Below are 19,494 nucleotides of genomic sequence, written 5' to 3'. Positions count from 1 at the left end.
TTGGCATTTCTTTGTTATCATTATATCTTCTTTCCCAGTCTCGTACCAGGAGAAAGCAGAATTATAGCAGCCTATCTGGTTTGGGCTATAATGAAAATAAAATAAACAATAATACTAATATTGCTTTGGGCATAGATTAGCATGTTCATAATGGTTCCAGGACAGTAGCGGTGATTTAGCAGCAGCAGTGGCTTTTTGAAACACAAATTGTGAGAGTCTGTGGCACCATTTTTTTTGTAATAGCATTGTTCTTTTTACACAGGAAAAGTGATTTTTTTTTTTTTAATTCTGAAGGGACTTTTTACTGAGGCACAGTCCTAGAGAGAGCAAAGCAAGGCTTTGAAGCAAGGAGGGAGGACAGTTAATGGTGTGAATACCCTTATACTAGCTATATTTTATTCACTTGCAGCTTTAAATAAACTGGATGTGCTCAGGTCTGCTAGCAGATTATTTAAAGATATTGATCAGCTCACTACGTTTTCTTTGGTTAAAAGAGGAAAACTTGTGAATGAAGCCTGTGAGTTCCTAGTTAGAGTCTGTGTGGTTTTCCCTTTGGAGATAAGAGCAAGAAGCGAGAGATGACCATCTGAAATAAAAATAATGGGGTGTGGATATATGGGAGAAATGGGGAATAGTACTGGGAATTAGTCCACAGCCAGGAAAATTTAGAAAGGATCAGGACTGAAACACTGGAAAGAAAGTTTTCTTTATTTTTTATGTGCAGCTAAGTCATTTGGTTATTATGTTAAAAAATGCAGATTTTTTTTTTTTCAGTATGTCTGGTGGGGCCTGAGTATCTGCATTTCTAACTAGTTCCTACATTGCTCATGTTGCTGGTCCCGGAACCACACTTTGACTAGTAAGGGTCTTAAAGCTCATCTCCAACCCTTGGACTGGGGTCCAAAACACCTGTGACTATCCATTAGGTCATTTAATAATAGATTAGACCCTAAATAATTCAGATTCCCCTTCTTAAATATACATTTACATAAATCCTGTTTGAGTTTATGTCTTGATGGCCTAATAATTTCAATAAAAATAGAGTTTGTTAAAAACGTGTACAACAAAAAAGTGTATATAGTATAAAATGTATTGATAATATTATATCTATTAGGATGCTTTGATATAACAATTTTGCCTCATTGGCTTCTAGGCAAGTGAATGGTGTATGAGGTTTTTAAAAGTTTCACTTCTAATTCTCACTCAATTTATCGTGTTCATTGGTTGATGAATTAGCTCAGACACTGAAATTGTTTTCCATGCTGACAACATTTGACAGGATTTGAAAAAGACTACTGAGTCTTTTTTTTTTTTTTTTTTTTTTTAATTTTAAGGAGCAGCAGACCTATGTATGGGTTCAGGTGGTCTAATAGAGATTTTCCATCCGGGGATAAGAATTTCTAGCCTATTGTTTCTCAAAGTATAGTTCATATGCTTAGTGCATCGGAATCACCTGGGTGCTATGTTAAAAATGCAGTTTCTTTGTCTCTGGCTCAGACTTAAAAAATCAGTCCCGTATTTTTAACAACCCTCCAGGTGATTGTTTTGCACACTGTCATCTGAAAATCACTGATCAGTACAAGGCGTTGAATTCTTCATAAAGATAATATGAAGGGAGCTTTTTTCCATGTTAATACTCTCCAGACAAATTAATTCATCAAAAGAAGCAAATAATTCAGAGGAGATATAACAAAATTTTGTTTATTATAAAACATATGGGAAAGGGTGAGATGGTATATGGGAACTCTGCTCAACTTTCTGTAAAAACTGTTCTAAAAATAATTTGTAAATTAAAAATATTTTAAAAGTACGTGTGAACATTCGACACACATTCTTCCATATGTGTTTTACATAAATGTGAGATCATGTATGTTATTTTTTAGGGCTTTTTTGGTCATTACTTTCTTCCTCATCCTTTCTTTTCAAGCAAACAATAGCTACAACTTGGCAATGGCAGTATACAGCACAAGCCTGAAGGATGAGAACATTCACAAATCACACCATGAAATTTGTCCCAATTTGTTTCCAGAGCAAAAATCTCAAATTCTGCAGTGTCTTGTTAGGAACCAGACACCTAGCATGTCTGGAACCACGTCCTTCCATCCATGTCATTAGCTCCTCATATCCCATCACCATCTGGGCATCTTGAGTTAGAACTTTTAAGAACACAGTACCCAGCCAAAATCCAGTGAAACAGACTAAGTGACTTATCAAGGTCCTTTTTTATATTAATACTTTTCCCTAGACATGAATGCGTCTTTGAAATCCAGTAAGACACAGATCATTTCCTTGAGGTGCACTTGAAGGGTTATTTAAACACCATGTTTCCTTATTAGGGCGTGGGAATTACGTTTTGTGAAGTTCTGGGGAAAAAAACTCTTTTCATTTTAAATCATACATATATTGCTTTCCTAACCAAAATTAAGATAGATTTCACACCTTTGGAATGGTGTCATCACCTCAACTGCATTTCACAGGCGCTTACCTAGAGAACACAGTCCTTAGCAAGTTGAGCAATTTTCACAAGAGGTGGTTCAATAGAGTGAGAAGACACAGAGTGCGGAGTCCAACAGCTTAAATTTTAGTCCTAGTTTGGCTTATGACCACGTGGATATCCTCTAGCACATCAGTTTTCTCATTTACAGAATAGAGATAAAAATAACTTTTGTGCTTTCAGGGTTATTGTGTAATGAGTTAGTGTAAAAAAAAACCTGCATTGTAATTTGTAAAAAATGTTACTGTAAACATTTTTACTTTTAGACATTTTTACCCCTCAATTTAAACTGGTGTAGAGTAACAGTGATCATTTTTTTTTTGTTTCCTCTTTAATGGTCCAGAAAAGAACCAGTGTTTCAGAGAATGTATTATCAAACAATAACTATGTCAGCAATGACAAATATATGCATGTATGTGGACATTTTAAGGGATAAAATATGGAGAAGGTGAATTCCTGTAAATATAGCAAGCCAACTTTCTATACATTCATTTGAAAAGAAAAGACTCAATAAAAGTTACCTTTTACTCTCTATGACCTAAGCATTCATATGTAATATATTTTTCAGGTAAAGCGAACTGTACTTAATCTCCTATTTACATGGTTTTGAATAAAGGAATTCACACAAACACACATACACACAGTGACCAAAATTTTTACATATTCGAAAACTTCAGTAAACTGGCTGGGCGTGGTGCCTCATACCTGTAATCCCAGCTAATCAGGAGGCTGATGTGGGAAGATCTCTTGAGGCCAGGAGTTCGAGATCAGCCTGGGCAGCCTAAGCAAGACCCCAACTCTTTTTTTTTTTTTTTTTTTTTTTTTTGAGATGGAGTCTCTCTCTGTCACACCCGGGCTGGAGTCCAGTGGCACAATCTCAGCTCACTGCAACCTCCACCTCCCAGGTAATTCTCCTGCCTCAGCCTCCCGAGTAGCTGAGACTACAGGTATGTGCCACGACGCCTGGCTAATTTTTGTATTTTTAGTAGAGATGGGGTTTCACCATGTTGGCCAGGCTGGTCTCAAGTTCCTAACCTCAGGTGATCTACCCGCTTTGGCCTCCCAAAGTGCTGGGATTACAGGCATGAGCCACTGCGCCCGGCCAAGATCCCCAACTCTTAAATAAATAAATAAAACATTAGTAAACCATGATAGTACATTAGGGCAAGCATCTGGTTGGTTTTTCATTACCAGAACTCTAACGAGAGTGTTAAGTCTGGCTTTTATTCCTGAAAGCTGGTACACAAATTAAAAGTTTGACTGTTTGTTAAATAATAAATGTTATAAAGAATTTTGAAAAATCACGTACTCTCTTGTATAAGGAGGTCTTTAATAAACAAATATTTCTAATTGCTCCTTTGGCAATCAAGACGTTTTTGCATCCTGGGACAGTGTCGCTTAGTAAGATTCCCAGTGGGTGAGAGGTACATCTCTTTTGTAAAGTGGCAGATAGATTAATGTGAAAGAAAGGTGAGAAAGAGGCAGCCCCATAGAACTGCTCTTAGGCAGATCATTTTAGAAAGGCATACATATGGAACTTGAGAATGCAGAATTTGAGTTCCTTAAAAATTACTCATGTCTGTGTAGCCCTTGAAAGGCAATAATCTAATATATATTTTTCAACATTTAATACATGTTCTTTAATTTTATTATCTTCTTTATAATTGTTGGGGATGGGGTAGATTAAGCTTGTATCCAGTAGGTATTTAAGCTGAAACGTCACAGCTTTTGTGTGTCTAATTAGCATCATTGCCTCAACTGCATTGAGTTAATAGGTAGTAGTATCACAGAGGTTAAACTCATTCACTCTAGATTATACCTAGAGTTATACCCTAAGGTACCTGCTTTGGAAATGTTGAAATATGTAATTGCATATACCTTGCTTTATAAAGATAGCAACCCTATCAAAACTAAATCCTTGGCAGGCTAATAGGAGCGCCATGAAATAACCTGAAATTGTCATTTGTCAGCAGATGATAGAAATCTGAATTCAGAGTTAGAAAGCTGGTTTAGGAGTGACAATGTATGAAAGAGAAAATTGTCAGCTGTTAGAAAGTCAAAGATGCTATTTTTATAAAGGCAAGGTGAAAAAAAGACTTTATGACAGTTGTATTGGATCCTCTGTTTGTTCAAGAAAAAAAGTATTTTTTATTACTGACTTGAATTTTATTTTCATAATGTAAAGTAGTTGTTATAATAATTGGGTACCCTGAATAATGAAAACAGACTGTATTTATAGTTTAAATTTTTGCATGCCAGTACAATTCTTATTAAAAGACATTTGGGTCAGTTTTGCTAAAAAACAGAAGCTCCTGTCTTTAATGAGGAAAAAGCATAATAGTGGCTTATCTTAGAATGTAAAGCTTTTGAAATCACCCTGTAATTCATGGCTTATCCCTGAGAATTCAAAGCTTTATAAATTATAAACCTTTCCAGGACACCATACACACTGTCTTAAGTCAAATAGCGCTGGACTAAGCCAAAGACATAAATGAATTCTTCACTCATCCCTGGTGCTCAGTATTATTATTTTCTAGCTTACATTATACACCCTGGCCAAAACTAGAATTCTTTCAAAATAAGCCACACTCCCATATCACCTTTTCACTTCCTTTTCTCTTTCTGCTACTTCTTCCCATAGTTAAATCTATCGGTCAATAAAACCTACATTATAGCTGGTAATAAGCAACTTTCATAAATTATTAATAACTGGCAGACTTGCTCCTATAAATAATATTTAGATGTAATTCAAATAAACCTCCAGTTGGTAGGTTAAACCTACCTAACCAAAACCATTCTTACTCTACCTGTTTCAAGATCTAAACTGGGACTCTGTGGGGTGTCCTGCCATCTTGAGCCACAGCTTTCAAAAGAAAGGAAGGAGGCATTTTCTGTCTATAAGCAAGTGCGGGAATTAAGGTGCTAAGTAAACGAGCATTGTTGTATTTGAACCCCTGAAGCTTTCTTTTCTGCATTTTTCTTCCAGTACCTTCTTGTTTCTTCTATATCTTCAGCAATTCTAAAGTCTTAATTTCCACATCCACAAAATAGGTGTAAGTATAAGGTTGCTTTAAGGAACTGTAGAGTTGTTGCGAGAGTAAAATAAGGAAATTCACAGAAATAAACTGATAACCAGAAAATATTAAGGGTACCAAAATATTGTTTCATCCACTTCCTTTTTAGTTGTTGAGTAAACATTTTAATAAGCCTAATCATTCCAATACGTGTTTTTATGTTTGAATATTATTTTTTGGCAGAAAGATGACTGAGTGATCATAGATTGTTTTTGTCTTTCCAGTTTTTTCTCCATTCTCTAATTTGTCTCTGAATGTGCCCAGGCAATAGCAGGTGCTCAAGTAAAAGCACGAATGAATGAAAATGAGTGGTTCACAGATGAGGAATAATTGAGCCAATAAAAATTATAATGAATCCCATTTTATATCAATAACGATAGAATAGGCAGGGTGCGGTGGCTCACGCCTGTAATCCCAGCACTTTGGGAGGCTGAGGTGGGCGGATCACGAGGTCAGGAGATCAAGACCACCCTGGCTAACACGGTGAAACCTCGTCTTTACTAAAAATACAAAAGATTAGCCGGGCGTGGTGGCGGGCGCCTGTAGTCCCAGCTACTGGAGGGGCTGAGGCAGAAGAATGGCGTGAACCCGGGAGATGGAGGTTGCAGTGAGCCGAGATTGTGCCACTGCATTCCAGCCTGGGCGACAGAGCGAGACTCCATCTCAAAAAAAAAAAAAAAAAAAGAAAAAAAAAAAACACCAATAGAATAAGAATTCTTTTCAAACAATAAATACTACGTTAAGAAGAAAACACTCCAGTGCTGTTTTATGCCAATAGTGAAGTATTTCTATTTCCATACCCTGTTTTCAATTCTAAAAAAACAAATATCTTCCTAACATATCCTTGGACAAAAGGTAAAAATAAGAGGCACAGGTAAATAGAGAACACATCAAATCTCTTAATCAAGATGTGTTTTACCAAATATAATAGCAAACAATAAGCAAACATGATGATTACCAGGGAAATCCTGAGCATTGCAAATCCAGTTTTCAGTTGGAAAATACAGCTAAAATAACATATGAAATGCTTTGAAAATACCACAGTACAATGTGATTTTCATCAGTGTTTATGTTTTTGAAAGGAAAAAAATGGCTGAAGTATTATTTTAGTCCATGTGCAAAGCAAATTCTGTTTTGTCTGTTAAAAAAATAAATGAGCAATAATCTCCAAGAAATCATCTTGACCAGCATTAATGACTAGTTTGGTAGTTAACAGCCCGAGGCATAGCCAGAGGCTATTAAGGCTCTGGGGGAAAGAAAAGGTTGGTAGATTGTGGTTTACCAGTAATTAACTATAGGTATGAATCAAAACTTCCTAAGAAAAGAGATTTAAGTTACTTTGGATTATTTTATGTGTATGCTTATCTTTTCATACATCCCCCTCCCACACCTTTTCTAATAGGAAAAGAAGATGATGCCATTATTTCACAAACCAAGTTGAATTGGAAATAATTCATGTAATGAAACAGGAAACACATGGGACCAATTAATGCCTTTTCAAGCTTGGACTATATAACTATAAGAAGCACTTAAAAAAAAACTCAGTCTAACACATTAGTTGATTGTTGGTGAAATGAAACTCAATCATGAGATCATAAGGATTTTTTGAAGCTTTTTTTTTAGTTTTTAATCCTATCTCAATAAAAGTAAATACATAAGGATTACACATAAACCAAATCTGAAGTAATATAGATTGGGGGAACCTCAAGAGGGTCAGGAGATAATGAAGATTATACCTCAATATTGGGATTATGATGTTAGTTCTTTATTTCAATAAAAGTGGATAGAGATCTTTCATATCAGGGACAGGGCTTAGCTGTAAGGACGAAAGTAATCTTCCGGGAATTATGCATACAGGCTTGACATCATTTTTATTGGATGGCTGATGAACTGGAAAACTCCAGGATAGCCAGGCTTTAATTTGTAATCTTAATTTTCATATAAATCGGTACATTTCAGGGGGAGGCAGAGGGGGATGTGGGGACATTGATGCTTGCCGGCCTTGTGGTAATAAGACAGCTCTGAAGCACAGGCAGCAGTACTAACTCATCCAGTATCTGATTCTGTCTTTTCCTCTATCCATCTGTCTTCCATCTTTGCATCCATCATTCAACGAAATTTACAGCCTGCAAATACCAGAGAAGCTAATGTTAGTGCAATCTTCCTTCTACCTCCTCTCGGAATGATCTATAGTAATCTACTTATCATAGACATGCACACTACAATGCACAATAATTTAGTTTTCAGCCAGGAAAATGACTGCCATTGTTTTGCCAGCATACATTAATGAGGATTTTTTTCCCCTTCTTCTTCTTTTAATTTTTATAAAGGATATAGAGCATGAGAGAGCACTAGTTTCCCTTCATAAAATAATTATCTTGGTGTTTCCCATATATAATTTCATATCCATGGAATTACATAGGGGCAAAGTTATAAAGCTAGAACATAGTGGAAATTTATTTGGATATATGGAAACTTGGTCCATACATTTTCAATATAGGATCCATATGTCCTTTACATGGTCAAAGAAGTAAAATGCTGTTGAATGTTTTAGAAATATATTAAGAAAATAGAATTTTCTTTCTGGATTGTTCTAGTCTCTTACAATATAAATAAAATTAAATTGTTTGTGCAAAATTGTTCTTATCAAAGGATATTTTAGTTGAATTTGCCATAGGAAACAAGCAATATACTCCCTTCTTAGATTGTGGTTATTGTTTTGAGGTTTTATGTGTCTCCCAGCTCTGTCAGGTTTTATGTGTCTCTACCATTTGTTTTACCTTCGTCTCATTATTTTTTAGCTTTTGGGTGATTTATTATAAAAGAAGAGGAAAGATCATAGTTCCTACTCCATAATTTTTAAACCAGAAATCATATGTAGCTTTTTGATCTTCTAATAATCATGTGTATGTAAAGAACATATAAGGCTCATATTCTACCATATAAAAAAAAATCCTCAGCCAAAGCTAAAAATGCAGAACTTGTTACACATAAGAACATTTTCCAACTTCTGAGTATATCTGAATGGCTCTGGTTTTAGATTTTCCCCATGATTTAGAGATGTTTTTATTTTTCAAAGACAAATCATCTGTTCTCAAGACTGTTTTGTTTGTTTGTTTTCTGATGTCTTCCTCGATGCACAGTGTACTGAAATGTTGAGATACTACCTTCAGAGCAGAAAATAGATTCTCCCGATCATATGTTATCCTCTTATCCTCCAAAGCTCCCAATTTGCCAGTGAAGTAACATGAAAGTTGATATAGATAAATACTGTGACCGTAATCCCAGTTGGGAGCACATTCATCTCTTAAACAGTTCTGTCAACTGGGATTTATCTGCATGGAAGGCATATGAAGCATCGTTTACATAAATAACTTGGAGTTTTGGGTTGGACATATATCAGGGATGAGTAACTGCCCTGGAGTATACCTATTAAATCAACCACCAGGCTCAAACAATCAGAAAAGCTTTGACTATAGCTATACAAAACTTGATCACAACATAATCTTCCTCTGCTTCTTGATGAGGTAACAAAATATGCTGTGTTCATTGAACAGCTGCTTTCATAACGAGAGCAATAATGAAAAAATATTCCAGAACCTTCAGCACTTGCACATGAAAACAAGGTTTCCAGTGAGAAAATTAAAATGCCAACAAGATTTATACTTACCTATGCAGATGTTCTGTGGTCTTAAACATGTTGTATTCCTTTTAAAATGGAAGAAACAGACACAATGTCATTTTTCAAAGTACTGTTATTGAAAAATAAAAGTTATAACCATGATTTCTGTTATGGGCTGAATCTTGTCCCTCCCAAAATTCATGTGTGAACTTCTAATTCCTACTCTCTGAGAATGTGACTATTTGGACATAGCACCTTTAAAGAAATAATTAACTTAAAATGAAGCCATTAGGATGGGCCCAAATCTGATTTGACTAGTATCCTTATAATAAGAGGAGATTAGACACAGATGACACCTAGAGAGGAAAGACTGTGTGAAGATACAGGGAGAAAATGGCCATCTGCAAGCCAAGGAGAGAGGCCTTAGAAAATCAACTCGGCCAACACCTTGATCTCAGGCTTCTAGCATCCCAAACTGTGAGACTATATATTTCTGTCACTTAAGCCACACAGTCTGTGGTATTTTGTTATCACAGCCCTTACAAGCTAATGCAATACAGTTCTCTTTCTTGTTTAAAGATAAATAAGGAAATGAAGATAGAAAGGCCCAAAGTTAAGTCATCTCTAACTTGCTCAGACATCCAGCTTTTCATTGATTCCATATGGAAATCAATATTCCCTTAATTGCTTGAACTGTGGCTGTGAATATTCTTCCATCATAACTTCTCTATTAAGAAGAGTGAAATGTCAGATAGTTAGTTGGAACAGGGCTTACCAGAGCTGCATAAAGCAAGCATGAAAGCATATTCCTCAGGGAAACATCTGTTTTTATAAATGAGTTAACTCTGAAGAAGTAGACATGTAAGTAGGATAGGCTAATTAATTTCAAAGGGGATGTAAATAAGAGAAATGTACAAATTACTAGTAGAAAAAATGATGAAAACTAGATTTTTGAGGATTATTATGTTATACCATTTGAGAGTCTTTCAATATACCTAAAAAATGAGGAAGATGCCTGTTTGAGATCCTCTTATTAAAGAGGAGAAAGCTTTTTTCTCACCATTCTATTCTTTTAAGTGTCCTTATAATACATAATCAAATGATAAGATCACATCTTCTTGCTTCTATGTTCATATGAAAAGCTTCCCCATCTCACTGCTTCCTATCAAATGAGAGCAGGAAGTAAAAAAAGCTTTTGTGAACCAGGACATCCTGCAGGTGAACATGTGCCAGCATCCTACCCAGATGCACAGCTTAGGAAGAAGGCCCTGTTCATTGAGCCATACCGGCTTTTCTAGAGAAATTGAACAATCTTTCAAATGATTTGTGAAATTTTAGGCACATAAAACTTCTAGATCTCAGAAATGAACTGATGACTATACTGCCATGGCAGTCATGTTTTACTTTGTGAAATATGTGGAATATAATTTTCTAAAAGGCAGTATAGTATTAGGAGTCTTGTTTTCCAAGATTTTTGGATAAATATTTAAGATCTATGTAAAGTATTTTACCTTAGTTATTAATCACCACTTTATTTGCATACATGGTGGGGGAAGAGCCTCTATTTGAAGATAAAGTCTATCTATGGCCTAACCTGGTCATATGTCAGAGGTGATTCAGAAAAGACATGGGTCAGTCCCGGCAGCATTCTCTACATGAAGAACCAAAGAACATCCTGAGAAAGAATTCAGCCCATGAAGACAGGCGACTGCTACTATGACAGAGACATGAGGTACCACTGCCAGTCTGGGGACAGCTTCTTAGTGCATCACGTGGGACATGGTGGGTAGAGAAAGAAATGTAGTCTCTTTATTCCTAGGATTATATTCACCTATGTCTGCTCCTTGCCACAGGAACCCTGGCCTCTCAGTATGACACCTTTTCACTGACAGAGTTCTTTTAATTTGCACCCAAACAGGTATAGCATACTCAAGATACTAGGGCAAGGGGCTCAAGAGGGGTTCTCAAATCACTCTTACAGTCTGCCTGAAACCAGCACCCCCACCGTCATTACCTAGATTCAAGTGTTTCATTGGGTTTAATACTCTCATATGCATAATTTCTAGGTAGTGTGACCATATAAAAATCCCAAAAAGGATATTTTTGAGGATGAAATGGAGCAGGAAAAGTAGTAAAAATCATATAATTTCTTTGAAATATGTATATTGGACTTACAATTTAATATCATTATCTCATTGGCTGTTCAATGAACTTTATTCATTGCTGAAAATATAAAAATATTCTTGCCGAAATATAGAACTAACATTTGTTATTAAAGCAAAATAAAAAATGTCTTTATATGAATTATTCGTACCTTAAAAAATAAATGGGATAATTATTTTTGGTTCACATACACATTCTTAATCATTTTCTTAGCCTGTACCTGTTTCTAACACTGTGTCACTGGCAATTTTCTGAAGAATATATTTTGCAATGTTGTGCTGTTTTACATTTTTTAATAAAATTGCTTGCAGTTTTCTTCAAATTTGTATTTTGTGATGAATACAGTTTAAATTGCTGACACTCAGTTGACTCTGCTCTGTAGACCATAATTTTTTAACTGAGAAACTGCTATCTACAGATGCTGAGGTTCATGATAAGATCAGAGAAAATTTGGCTAAATAAAGGATCTTCTCAATTCTAATTTTATTGATATATGTAAATATCTTAGTCCAAATATGTTAACAACTGAAAGACAAAAGAGGTGCAAAAACAGAAAAACACATGATGGTCGAAGAGCTGTCGAGCTGTCACTAAGAAAAGTATGCCATAGAGCAGAGGAAAAATAACAAAATGAATCAACATGAGTTTTTAAAAATTAGTAAAACAATCATATATTAAAAACAAAAATGTGATATAAAGATGAAAGAGGTCAGAAAATGTGTGGAGATTTCTTTCTCAGGCCATCTAGGCTCATTAGAGACATTCTAATCATTTTGATCTTTAAGTGAAAAGGTCTGTGTTTTCATACTCTTACTTCTTTTGGTTCCGACGCCAATCTGCAAACTTATTCTCAGCAACTTTTTAAACCTACCAAGGAGTCTGACAGAGTGGTAACGTCCATTACCCAAGTCAAAAGACTACCAATTACATTCTTCTCCCAAAACAAAAAGGGAAGCATTATTGACTTAATTCTAGAAGGTTGCCCAAATGTTTTATCTCAGACCAAAGCCTATCTGCTCCAAGGAGCCTTCCTGTCTGAACAGCTAGCTACTTTCAAATGGCACTGTGTTCCTTTCCCATCTCCCCTTAAATTAAGTCCCAGTTCACCAATTCTCCCACTATGTTATCTTGATCATCACTGTAATTAACAAAGGTCAGGAAGAGCGGGTGTAATGATGCGCACCTGTCGTCCCAGGCTTCCTTGGAGTTTGAGGCTGCAGTGATCATGATTATGCCACTGCACTCCAGCCTGAGCGACAGAGCAAGACCCCTACTCAAATTAATGTAAAATAAAATAATAAATGAACAAAGGCCAAGAAGATATTATCAAATTTGCATCTGAAAATAAAGAAAAGTGAGTGTCTTTGCAAAGATTTTCAGATGGTCCATGTTAGCAGTAAAAACTGACCTGTACATTTATCTCTTATGTTGTTTCTTTCCCAGTTAGGACTGCTTTTTTGCATGCTTTTTGAAAATATTTATGTTGGGAGGTATATATATATATATATATATATATATATATATATATATATATATAAAAGGCCTCAAGAGAACAGGAATGAAAAGGGAAGGATGCACAAATTAAAAAGTCAAGATGGCAAATATATTACTTTGGGTGTATATTTTAAGCAGCTGTAACAACAACAACAACAAAACCCTAAAATTCAAAGTCTCAAACAAAATAGAATTTTATTTCTGTCTTATCTAACGATCCAGGGATGAGCATTTCCAGGCCAGCAGGGAAGCTCCTTCCCTATAGATATCTTGTTTCTCTTCCATTTCCTCCTCCAGTGTTCTTCTCTGGATTGGTTGAGGTTGGATTACACATACTAGTCCATGTTCCATTTTGTAAGAAGGGAAAAAGAGATTAAGTGGCAAGCAAACAATTTCTTCTTTAAACCATTTTACTTGAAAGTTACACATATCACTTTTATTATGAAGTAGTTGATGCTATAGATATGAAATATATGTGAATATACACACAAATGTATATACAAATATAATGCAAATATACATATATAGAATAAAGATATATACATTATATACACATATACAGTCTCAGACAATGCAATGACACAAAAAAATGAGACTTTGTTATGAAGGATTTGGGTGTCTTTGTAGAAAACTATTTAAAATTTGTCAGATTAATATTAGTCAGCAACTGCACATCCCTTTTCATTTTGTCCTACCATCATTTTGATTGTTTATAGATTTTTACACTTGCAACCTAAACTTAACAAGAATAAATCAGTGACATTTTCCTTGAATACTTATTGTATAGATGAATTAATAATACCTCTCACAGAAAAGAATACCAATACATTTGGGAAGACTGACATAAGGAAAGAGAAGATATGATTTAGATCTTCAGAAGAGAAGGAAAATTCACAAAGTTATTCAAAGCAGAAATCTGTAATATAATTTCAATTTCTATTCTATGGTATCAATCTACATTAAAAGTGCATATTTCAAAACAAAATCCCTCTGATGCCCTTGTATCCCGTATGCACATTTATACTCTCAAAATATTCCATATGTCATTTCTTAAAATTATTTATGTATTTCTACTAATGCAGGGCCAAATAAACCAACTAAATAGAATAAGAGGAAATTAGTTTGGCCAGTCTTTTATTTTTCTCTAGTTCTGCTATGGAAGCATTTTAGCATCCATCATTTTTAAAAGAAATAGAAGATTCCTTAAAGTAAGGCTGACTGCCTTCCATTCCAGACAAAATAATGTTAAACCTCTTTTAGAATACAATAAATTGTAAGATAAAATTAGCTATTGTTGTAAAGGGTAACTTTGCCCTGCAAAGTTAAATTAAATTCAAGTATTTTTTGTGAGCTATTATAAAATGGATTTGGCTCCTCCACACTTGGTCCCTCGTATAGCTAGAGCCCTTGTGCTTGCTGGTCCCCATGCTGGAGCTCTTCTGCTTTTCCATGGGTGCCCAGCTTTTATCACCACCATGTACAGAAGTATTTTTAACTTATTGTATTTTCTTCTTAAAGACCTTGAACTGAGGAGCTAGAAGTGGATTCTATCACCAAGAAATGAGCCCGAAGTAAAATCACTTCCTCTGGTTAATCTGCATTACAATTTATTTAATGCTGATAAACAGGAATTGACATATTATTCATCAAAAAATTGTATCAAAGAAATATATTTAACAGCATGAGGTAAATGCTAAGTGTCTCTTGATTAGTATAGATGATCAATATTTTAAAAACACAGGTAGGAAAGATCATTGTGCACAGGACTATTCAAGGAACTCTTCATAGTGGAGTGCAATAGAGATGGGCAGATTTCAACAAGGTAGAGAAGCAAGTGGAAAGAAAAATAAACTTGGAGGGGAGGATATTCTGATCAAATTCTTCAACCATCTGTCTTAAAACTTCTCCACAATAATATGAAATGTTTATTCGGTACTTACTCTGTGGCAGGCATTTTATAAAGATTATTCCATGTGAACTAAGAACACACTTTTGACTTGAGTGCCAAGATAATCTGCACTTTAGATACATGGATTCTGATGCATAGATCAGTTTGCTAATTCATTTAAGGTGACATAGCTAATAAATGGCAGAGACATGATGCAAACCTGTGTGTGACTCTGGAACTCACATGCTTAACCACTGTAATATAAGGACATTCTTACTGCAAAGTCATGGAGTGCATCCCTTTCATCTCACTTCTACTATCAGTGATTACCTTTCAGGCCCTTATCATACCTGACACGAACTGCTATTACAACCTTCTTAAAATATGGCTTCTCTAATTTTAATATCCGTCTCTCTAGCTTATCCTTTCTAATGTCCACCTCATGTTCTGCTCATTCTTTCCCTATTCAAAACCTTTTAGAGGATCCCAATGCATTAAAAACACACACACACTTAAATAACCTCTTTTGATGTCCTCATATAACCCAATTTACTTTTCAACATTTTTGCCCTCCCTACCGCTCACTCTACTTCATATCAGATTAATTTATGTACTTGCTTGTCTTTCCCATTAGATTTCCAATTACTTAAGGATAGAAGAAATGCTTTCTCTTCCTGCCCTGTATAGTTCTTAGCAAAATTCCAAACATATGGTGGACATTTATCAAATGTTTGTTTCTTTGAATTTTGCTGAATCGGCATGTTGTAAGCATAATGAGTAGTTTGTGTTGACTAAGGCAGGTAAGATATGAAGGGAAGAAGCAATAGAAGTGCAGGGTAGGGGGGCCATATTGTGGGGGCACATCAAAGATCAATGTCAGAAGTTGGGACTTTAACTTGAAATAGGCAACAAAATGTGCTTTGAGATGAAACATGTTAAGGTATATGGCAAGGTATAAAACCAAATTTCATTGTAATGTTCCCTCTGTTGCCATTCTTTCTTCCCACATACAAATGGCATGCATTTTGCCTAACACCTTAGGAAAATCATTGCCTACATCCAGTGAATGAAGCAGTTCTCAATGTTATTTTTACAAATTCTCAAGATAGTTCTACTTTTTCAGTGCCTGTGAATACTTGCCCCTATAAGCATGAATGTCTCTTTGGGAAGGTACAACAGATTGCCACTAGTATTATAACTGGGCATGTTAAAGCATGACATTTCCATCACCTGAAAGCGAATGGGGAAACCAAGCTGAACCAGGCCAGAGCTCATTGGCAGTGGTGGCTGGTTCAGACTTAACTAGCACCTGTCACTCGCAGTCTCCATTGCTAACAAAATCATTCCTTAGATATTGTAGAGTCACATCAAGATGTTAGAGTTACCATCTCTTGAGGAAGCAGAATGTCCTGGTATCTGCAATATGAGAACAGATTCCTCCTGGCTACTCTCCAGGTTAAGGTCACAATCCTAATATTGACAAAGTTGCTTCCTTTGAGATTCTTTATCCATAAAATGAGGAAACAATGCTTAACAATGCTTATGGATAGATAACAGCTCTATCCAACAGTTTTTATTTTGGGGTTTTTGTTTGTTTGGGGTGGAGAGGAGGAAGTGTCAACTGATATATAATAAATACCAAAAAAATTTAAAGTATAAACCAAGATTTGATATAAAAAACCTTTTTTAATAATCAAATTCTGTAATTAGTCAGAGATATAAAGTCAAACCATAAGTACAACATTGGGGTCTTGATATTCTTATAAGCCTTTTTAGTCTCTTTCTGCTGGACAAATGATGGGTCTATGAGAAGATAGCCTGATAGCCTCTGTAAACTTCCAAAGTCTTTCATCTTGTTGTTATAAAACTTCTCCGTCTTTCAGAAATGTAATGAGGCAGGATTATATAGAGGAAAGGACTCAGGGTTGGGCATAAGCATCATGAAGACTAGGCACTGGTGTGTAGAAAGTCTCAACTTCTCTATGCCTCGGTTTTCTTATTGGTAAAATATAGCAAGTAAATAAAATCATTGCAGGAGTCTTTACCTGCTCTAAAGTTTAGTGATTCTGTGATAGCAAATTTTCTCAAAATCAGTCTCACAAGTAAGAAAAATGTTGAATGTATATTTGGTGACAGTCTGACAGTATATCCATGGATTTTCTGTGTGTTCCACTGTTAGTTCTTAATAAAGATAAGTAAGATTTAGTCCTTGCTCTCAAGATGTTTATAACCTAACAAGTAGAAAAAGACAAAGGCATTTAACATAAAGCAAAATGTAATCAACTATTACTTGAATCCAAAGAGAAATAAAATATAGTCAAGTAAAATCAGTGGAGAACATGTTATTAAACTGTTAACATTTGATTTTGTTATGGGATCTTCGGGATGTCCATTTCCTGGCTGGAAACCTCTGTGGCCGATGACACCTTTGGCAGTTTTGCTTGGGCCCACTGGGCTCATTTCGCCCACTTGGCCAGTAGGCTGCACTCGGCTCATACCACTGGTCTGGGTCTCATGCTTGCCAAGGGCGTGTATCCATGCCTGCCAAGGGCGAGTCAGGCATGGAACAGTGAGGGGTGTGTGAGTGAGTGTGGGGTCTGGCCACTGTGCACAGTCAGACACACCAACTGCTGCAGTGGGGTGGGAACTCCAGGTGCTGGCACTGGGGCTGGCTCTCTGCAAGGCTACAGCCAGACCAGGGGCACCATAAGCAGCTTCCACAGCTGGCACTAAGGAATGTGGTGGCACCTGGAATCTTGGAGATGCCAGGAACCACAGGATCCCAAAGAGGGAGTCACAGCCCTGGCTTGGGGAACTCCTAGGTCTGGGATCCCCAAAGGGCCACAACTCTTCTCTCCTTTTCTTCTCCCGCAACCTGGCAAGCAAGGGACATGTTTCAGGCCTGTTCGTGTTACTGCTCTTTTAGCCTCACCATTCAGTGGGTCCCGACTTCTTGTCATGTGACCAGGAAGAATGAGATATGCAGACAAGTGAAGGGTGAGCAAGACGAAGAGGAGCGTTATTGGGCAATAGAACAGCTCAGGGGAGACCTGCAGGGGGCAGCTCCTTTCTGCAGCCAGGGTGTCCAGATGAGTGTTCAGCTCCTAGCAGAGAGGATAGAACCTCTCTTCAGGCAGGTAGTCCCAACAAGTGTTCAGCTCCCAGCAGAAAACGTAGCTCCTCTCTGCAGCTGCTCTTCCCATCATCTGCTCTGCTCTGGCTGAGCCCTGGGCTTTTATCAGCCTCAGTGGGGAGGAAGTACATGCTGATTGGTCCATGGGCAGCCATTGGTGGGCCCAGAAAAGGCACCACAAATTCCCACTATGGTCTGCAGGACTGGCAGCCTGCCCCCCAGCCTTCAGGCCCTCCCTAGCCTGAAGGTGGGGCCTCAACAGGGACCCACCCCCTTCCACACAGAAGCCTGTCTGCCTCCTGCTGCTGTCCATGGCACCCAGGCTGCTTGCACCAAGGGGCACCTGCAGGCCAGCGCCGAGCTGCCCTCAGTCCCCCTTCAACTCCCCCCACCACGTGCTTATTGGCACCCAAAGTCTGGAGGGGGCTGAGGCATGAGGGGGCTGGCATGTCAGCAATACCCCGAGTGAGTGCACACCTGGATGGGCTGTGACAGCACCTGGGCTTGGCCCCAACCCTGCTCTGAGATTGGAGCAGGCACCAGGAATGGGAAGAGGCAAGTCAGTGGGAGCAGACACTGCCCAGCCTGAGGGGACAGGGGGGCCTTCCTGGGCTCCTGAGGGTGCAAAGTGCAGAGATGCCCAGGCCCTACGTTTGGGAGGGCGGAGCTCTCGCCCACTCCATGGAGTGTGTGGCAGCCCCAGCTGCACCTCCTCACAATCTGGGGCCGGGGCTCCAGGTCCTCGCTGAGGCCCTCTCTGTCCACTCCTCTGTGCCTGACCACACTGCTCCCCATCCAGTGGGTGGCTCAGCCTGGCTCCATCACAGTAGCCCCCAGGGCAGTGGGCTCCACGGAGGCTCTCGCTTGTCCCTAGTTCCTGCCAGCTCTGTGGAGTGCAGCACCACTCCGGGGCCAGTTCTGCCTCCTCCCCACACCCTCCCCACAACGGTGGCAGGCGACAGCGGCAACTGCATGGCCAGGATGCAGAGCAGCAGAGGCTCTGGACCTGGGAGCAGGTCCTGCCTGGCCTCAGGAGGGTGGGAGCAGTGCAGTCTGCTGCTCAGGGACAGAAGGCACAGGGGACCCACTGCTGCCATTGATGATGCTCCCACAGCCGCTCCTGCTGTCACTGCCTGTGCCTCCCTGATGACAGCAGCTGCTCTGGATGGTCTGCCGCTGCCATTAATTTAAGCATTGAAGAATCAATAGCCTTAATCATAAATGGGGATTAGATGGGAGTGAGAATTCAGGAGCACATAACAACAAAGGAAAAACATTCAGTGGTCTATGGGTGGGGATAAATGTTAAATCATAGGGCATTCTATGACAACACTGAGTAGTAGAATTTGGCATACTGGCTTCTGGGAGACAAGAACTAACATAGGCTAGGACAAAGAAAAGAGAGCCTTCAATGCCAGACACAAGAGTTCAGAGGTAATGGGGTCCATGGTCAATTTTTGAGCAAGGGAATTAAATGAGAAGGTCAAAACTGTACTTGAAACTGAGTATCAATTGAAGATTGAATGCTGAAATTAATGAGGAGCTCTTTCCCAGATAAGGAAGGCCAAGGTGTGAATCTGGCTGCAGAGGTAAGAAAAGAAATAAAGGGAGGTACATTCTAAAGCT

At 37.9% G+C, this 19,494-nt stretch overlaps 1 protein-coding gene and 1 long non-coding RNA gene across 9 annotated transcripts in view, besides 1 other annotated feature; one reads left to right on the top strand and one right to left on the bottom strand.

Moving 5' to 3' along the window:
- The window catches only part of NAA11 (N-alpha-acetyltransferase 11, NatA catalytic subunit), a 170,686-nt gene that overhangs the window by 10,095 nt on the left and 141,097 nt on the right, over positions 1-19,494 (top strand). For 2 of the 8 annotated variants that reach the window (XR_007057978.1, XR_007057977.1), the window contains exon 1: positions 18,628-19,457. The exons of 5 other annotated variants lie outside the window; for them this stretch is intronic. The gene's annotated coding sequence lies outside the window, so the exon portion shown is untranslated. Of the gene's footprint in view, positions 1-18,627; positions 19,458-19,494 lie in introns of those variants that run through there. One more of the 8 variants, XR_007057979.1, reaches the window with a different exon arrangement.
- Positions 7,168-19,494, bottom strand: part of LINC01088 (long intergenic non-protein coding RNA 1088) — a 337,052-nt gene continuing 324,725 nt past the window's right edge. The window contains exons 5-6 of the long non-coding RNA NR_038342.1: positions 9,239-9,276; positions 7,168-7,694 (exon numbers count right to left, since the gene is read on the bottom strand). This is a non-coding gene — a long non-coding RNA (long intergenic non-protein coding RNA 1088). The remainder of the gene's footprint in view (positions 7,695-9,238; positions 9,277-19,494) is intronic.
- Positions 17,863-18,431: an enhancer, noted in NCBI's record as "H3K27ac-H3K4me1 hESC enhancer chr4:80218690-80219258 (GRCh37/hg19 assembly coordinates)". NCBI's record gives its function as "activates a minimal SCP1, AML or CMV promoter by ChIP-STARR-seq in primed H9 embryonic stem cells {active_cell/tissue: H9 hESC(primed)}" and the evidence as "EXISTENCE:reporter gene assay evidence [ECO:0000049][PMID:30033119]".

The sequence above is a fragment of the Homo sapiens genome, chromosome 4 (genome assembly GCF_000001405.40).
Source record: "Homo sapiens chromosome 4, GRCh38.p14 Primary Assembly".
Classification (NCBI taxonomy): Eukaryota; Metazoa; Chordata; class Mammalia; order Primates; family Hominidae; genus Homo; species Homo sapiens.
The sequence above is the reverse complement of the archived record's forward strand: the minus strand, read 5'-3'. Positions and strand labels throughout refer to the sequence as shown.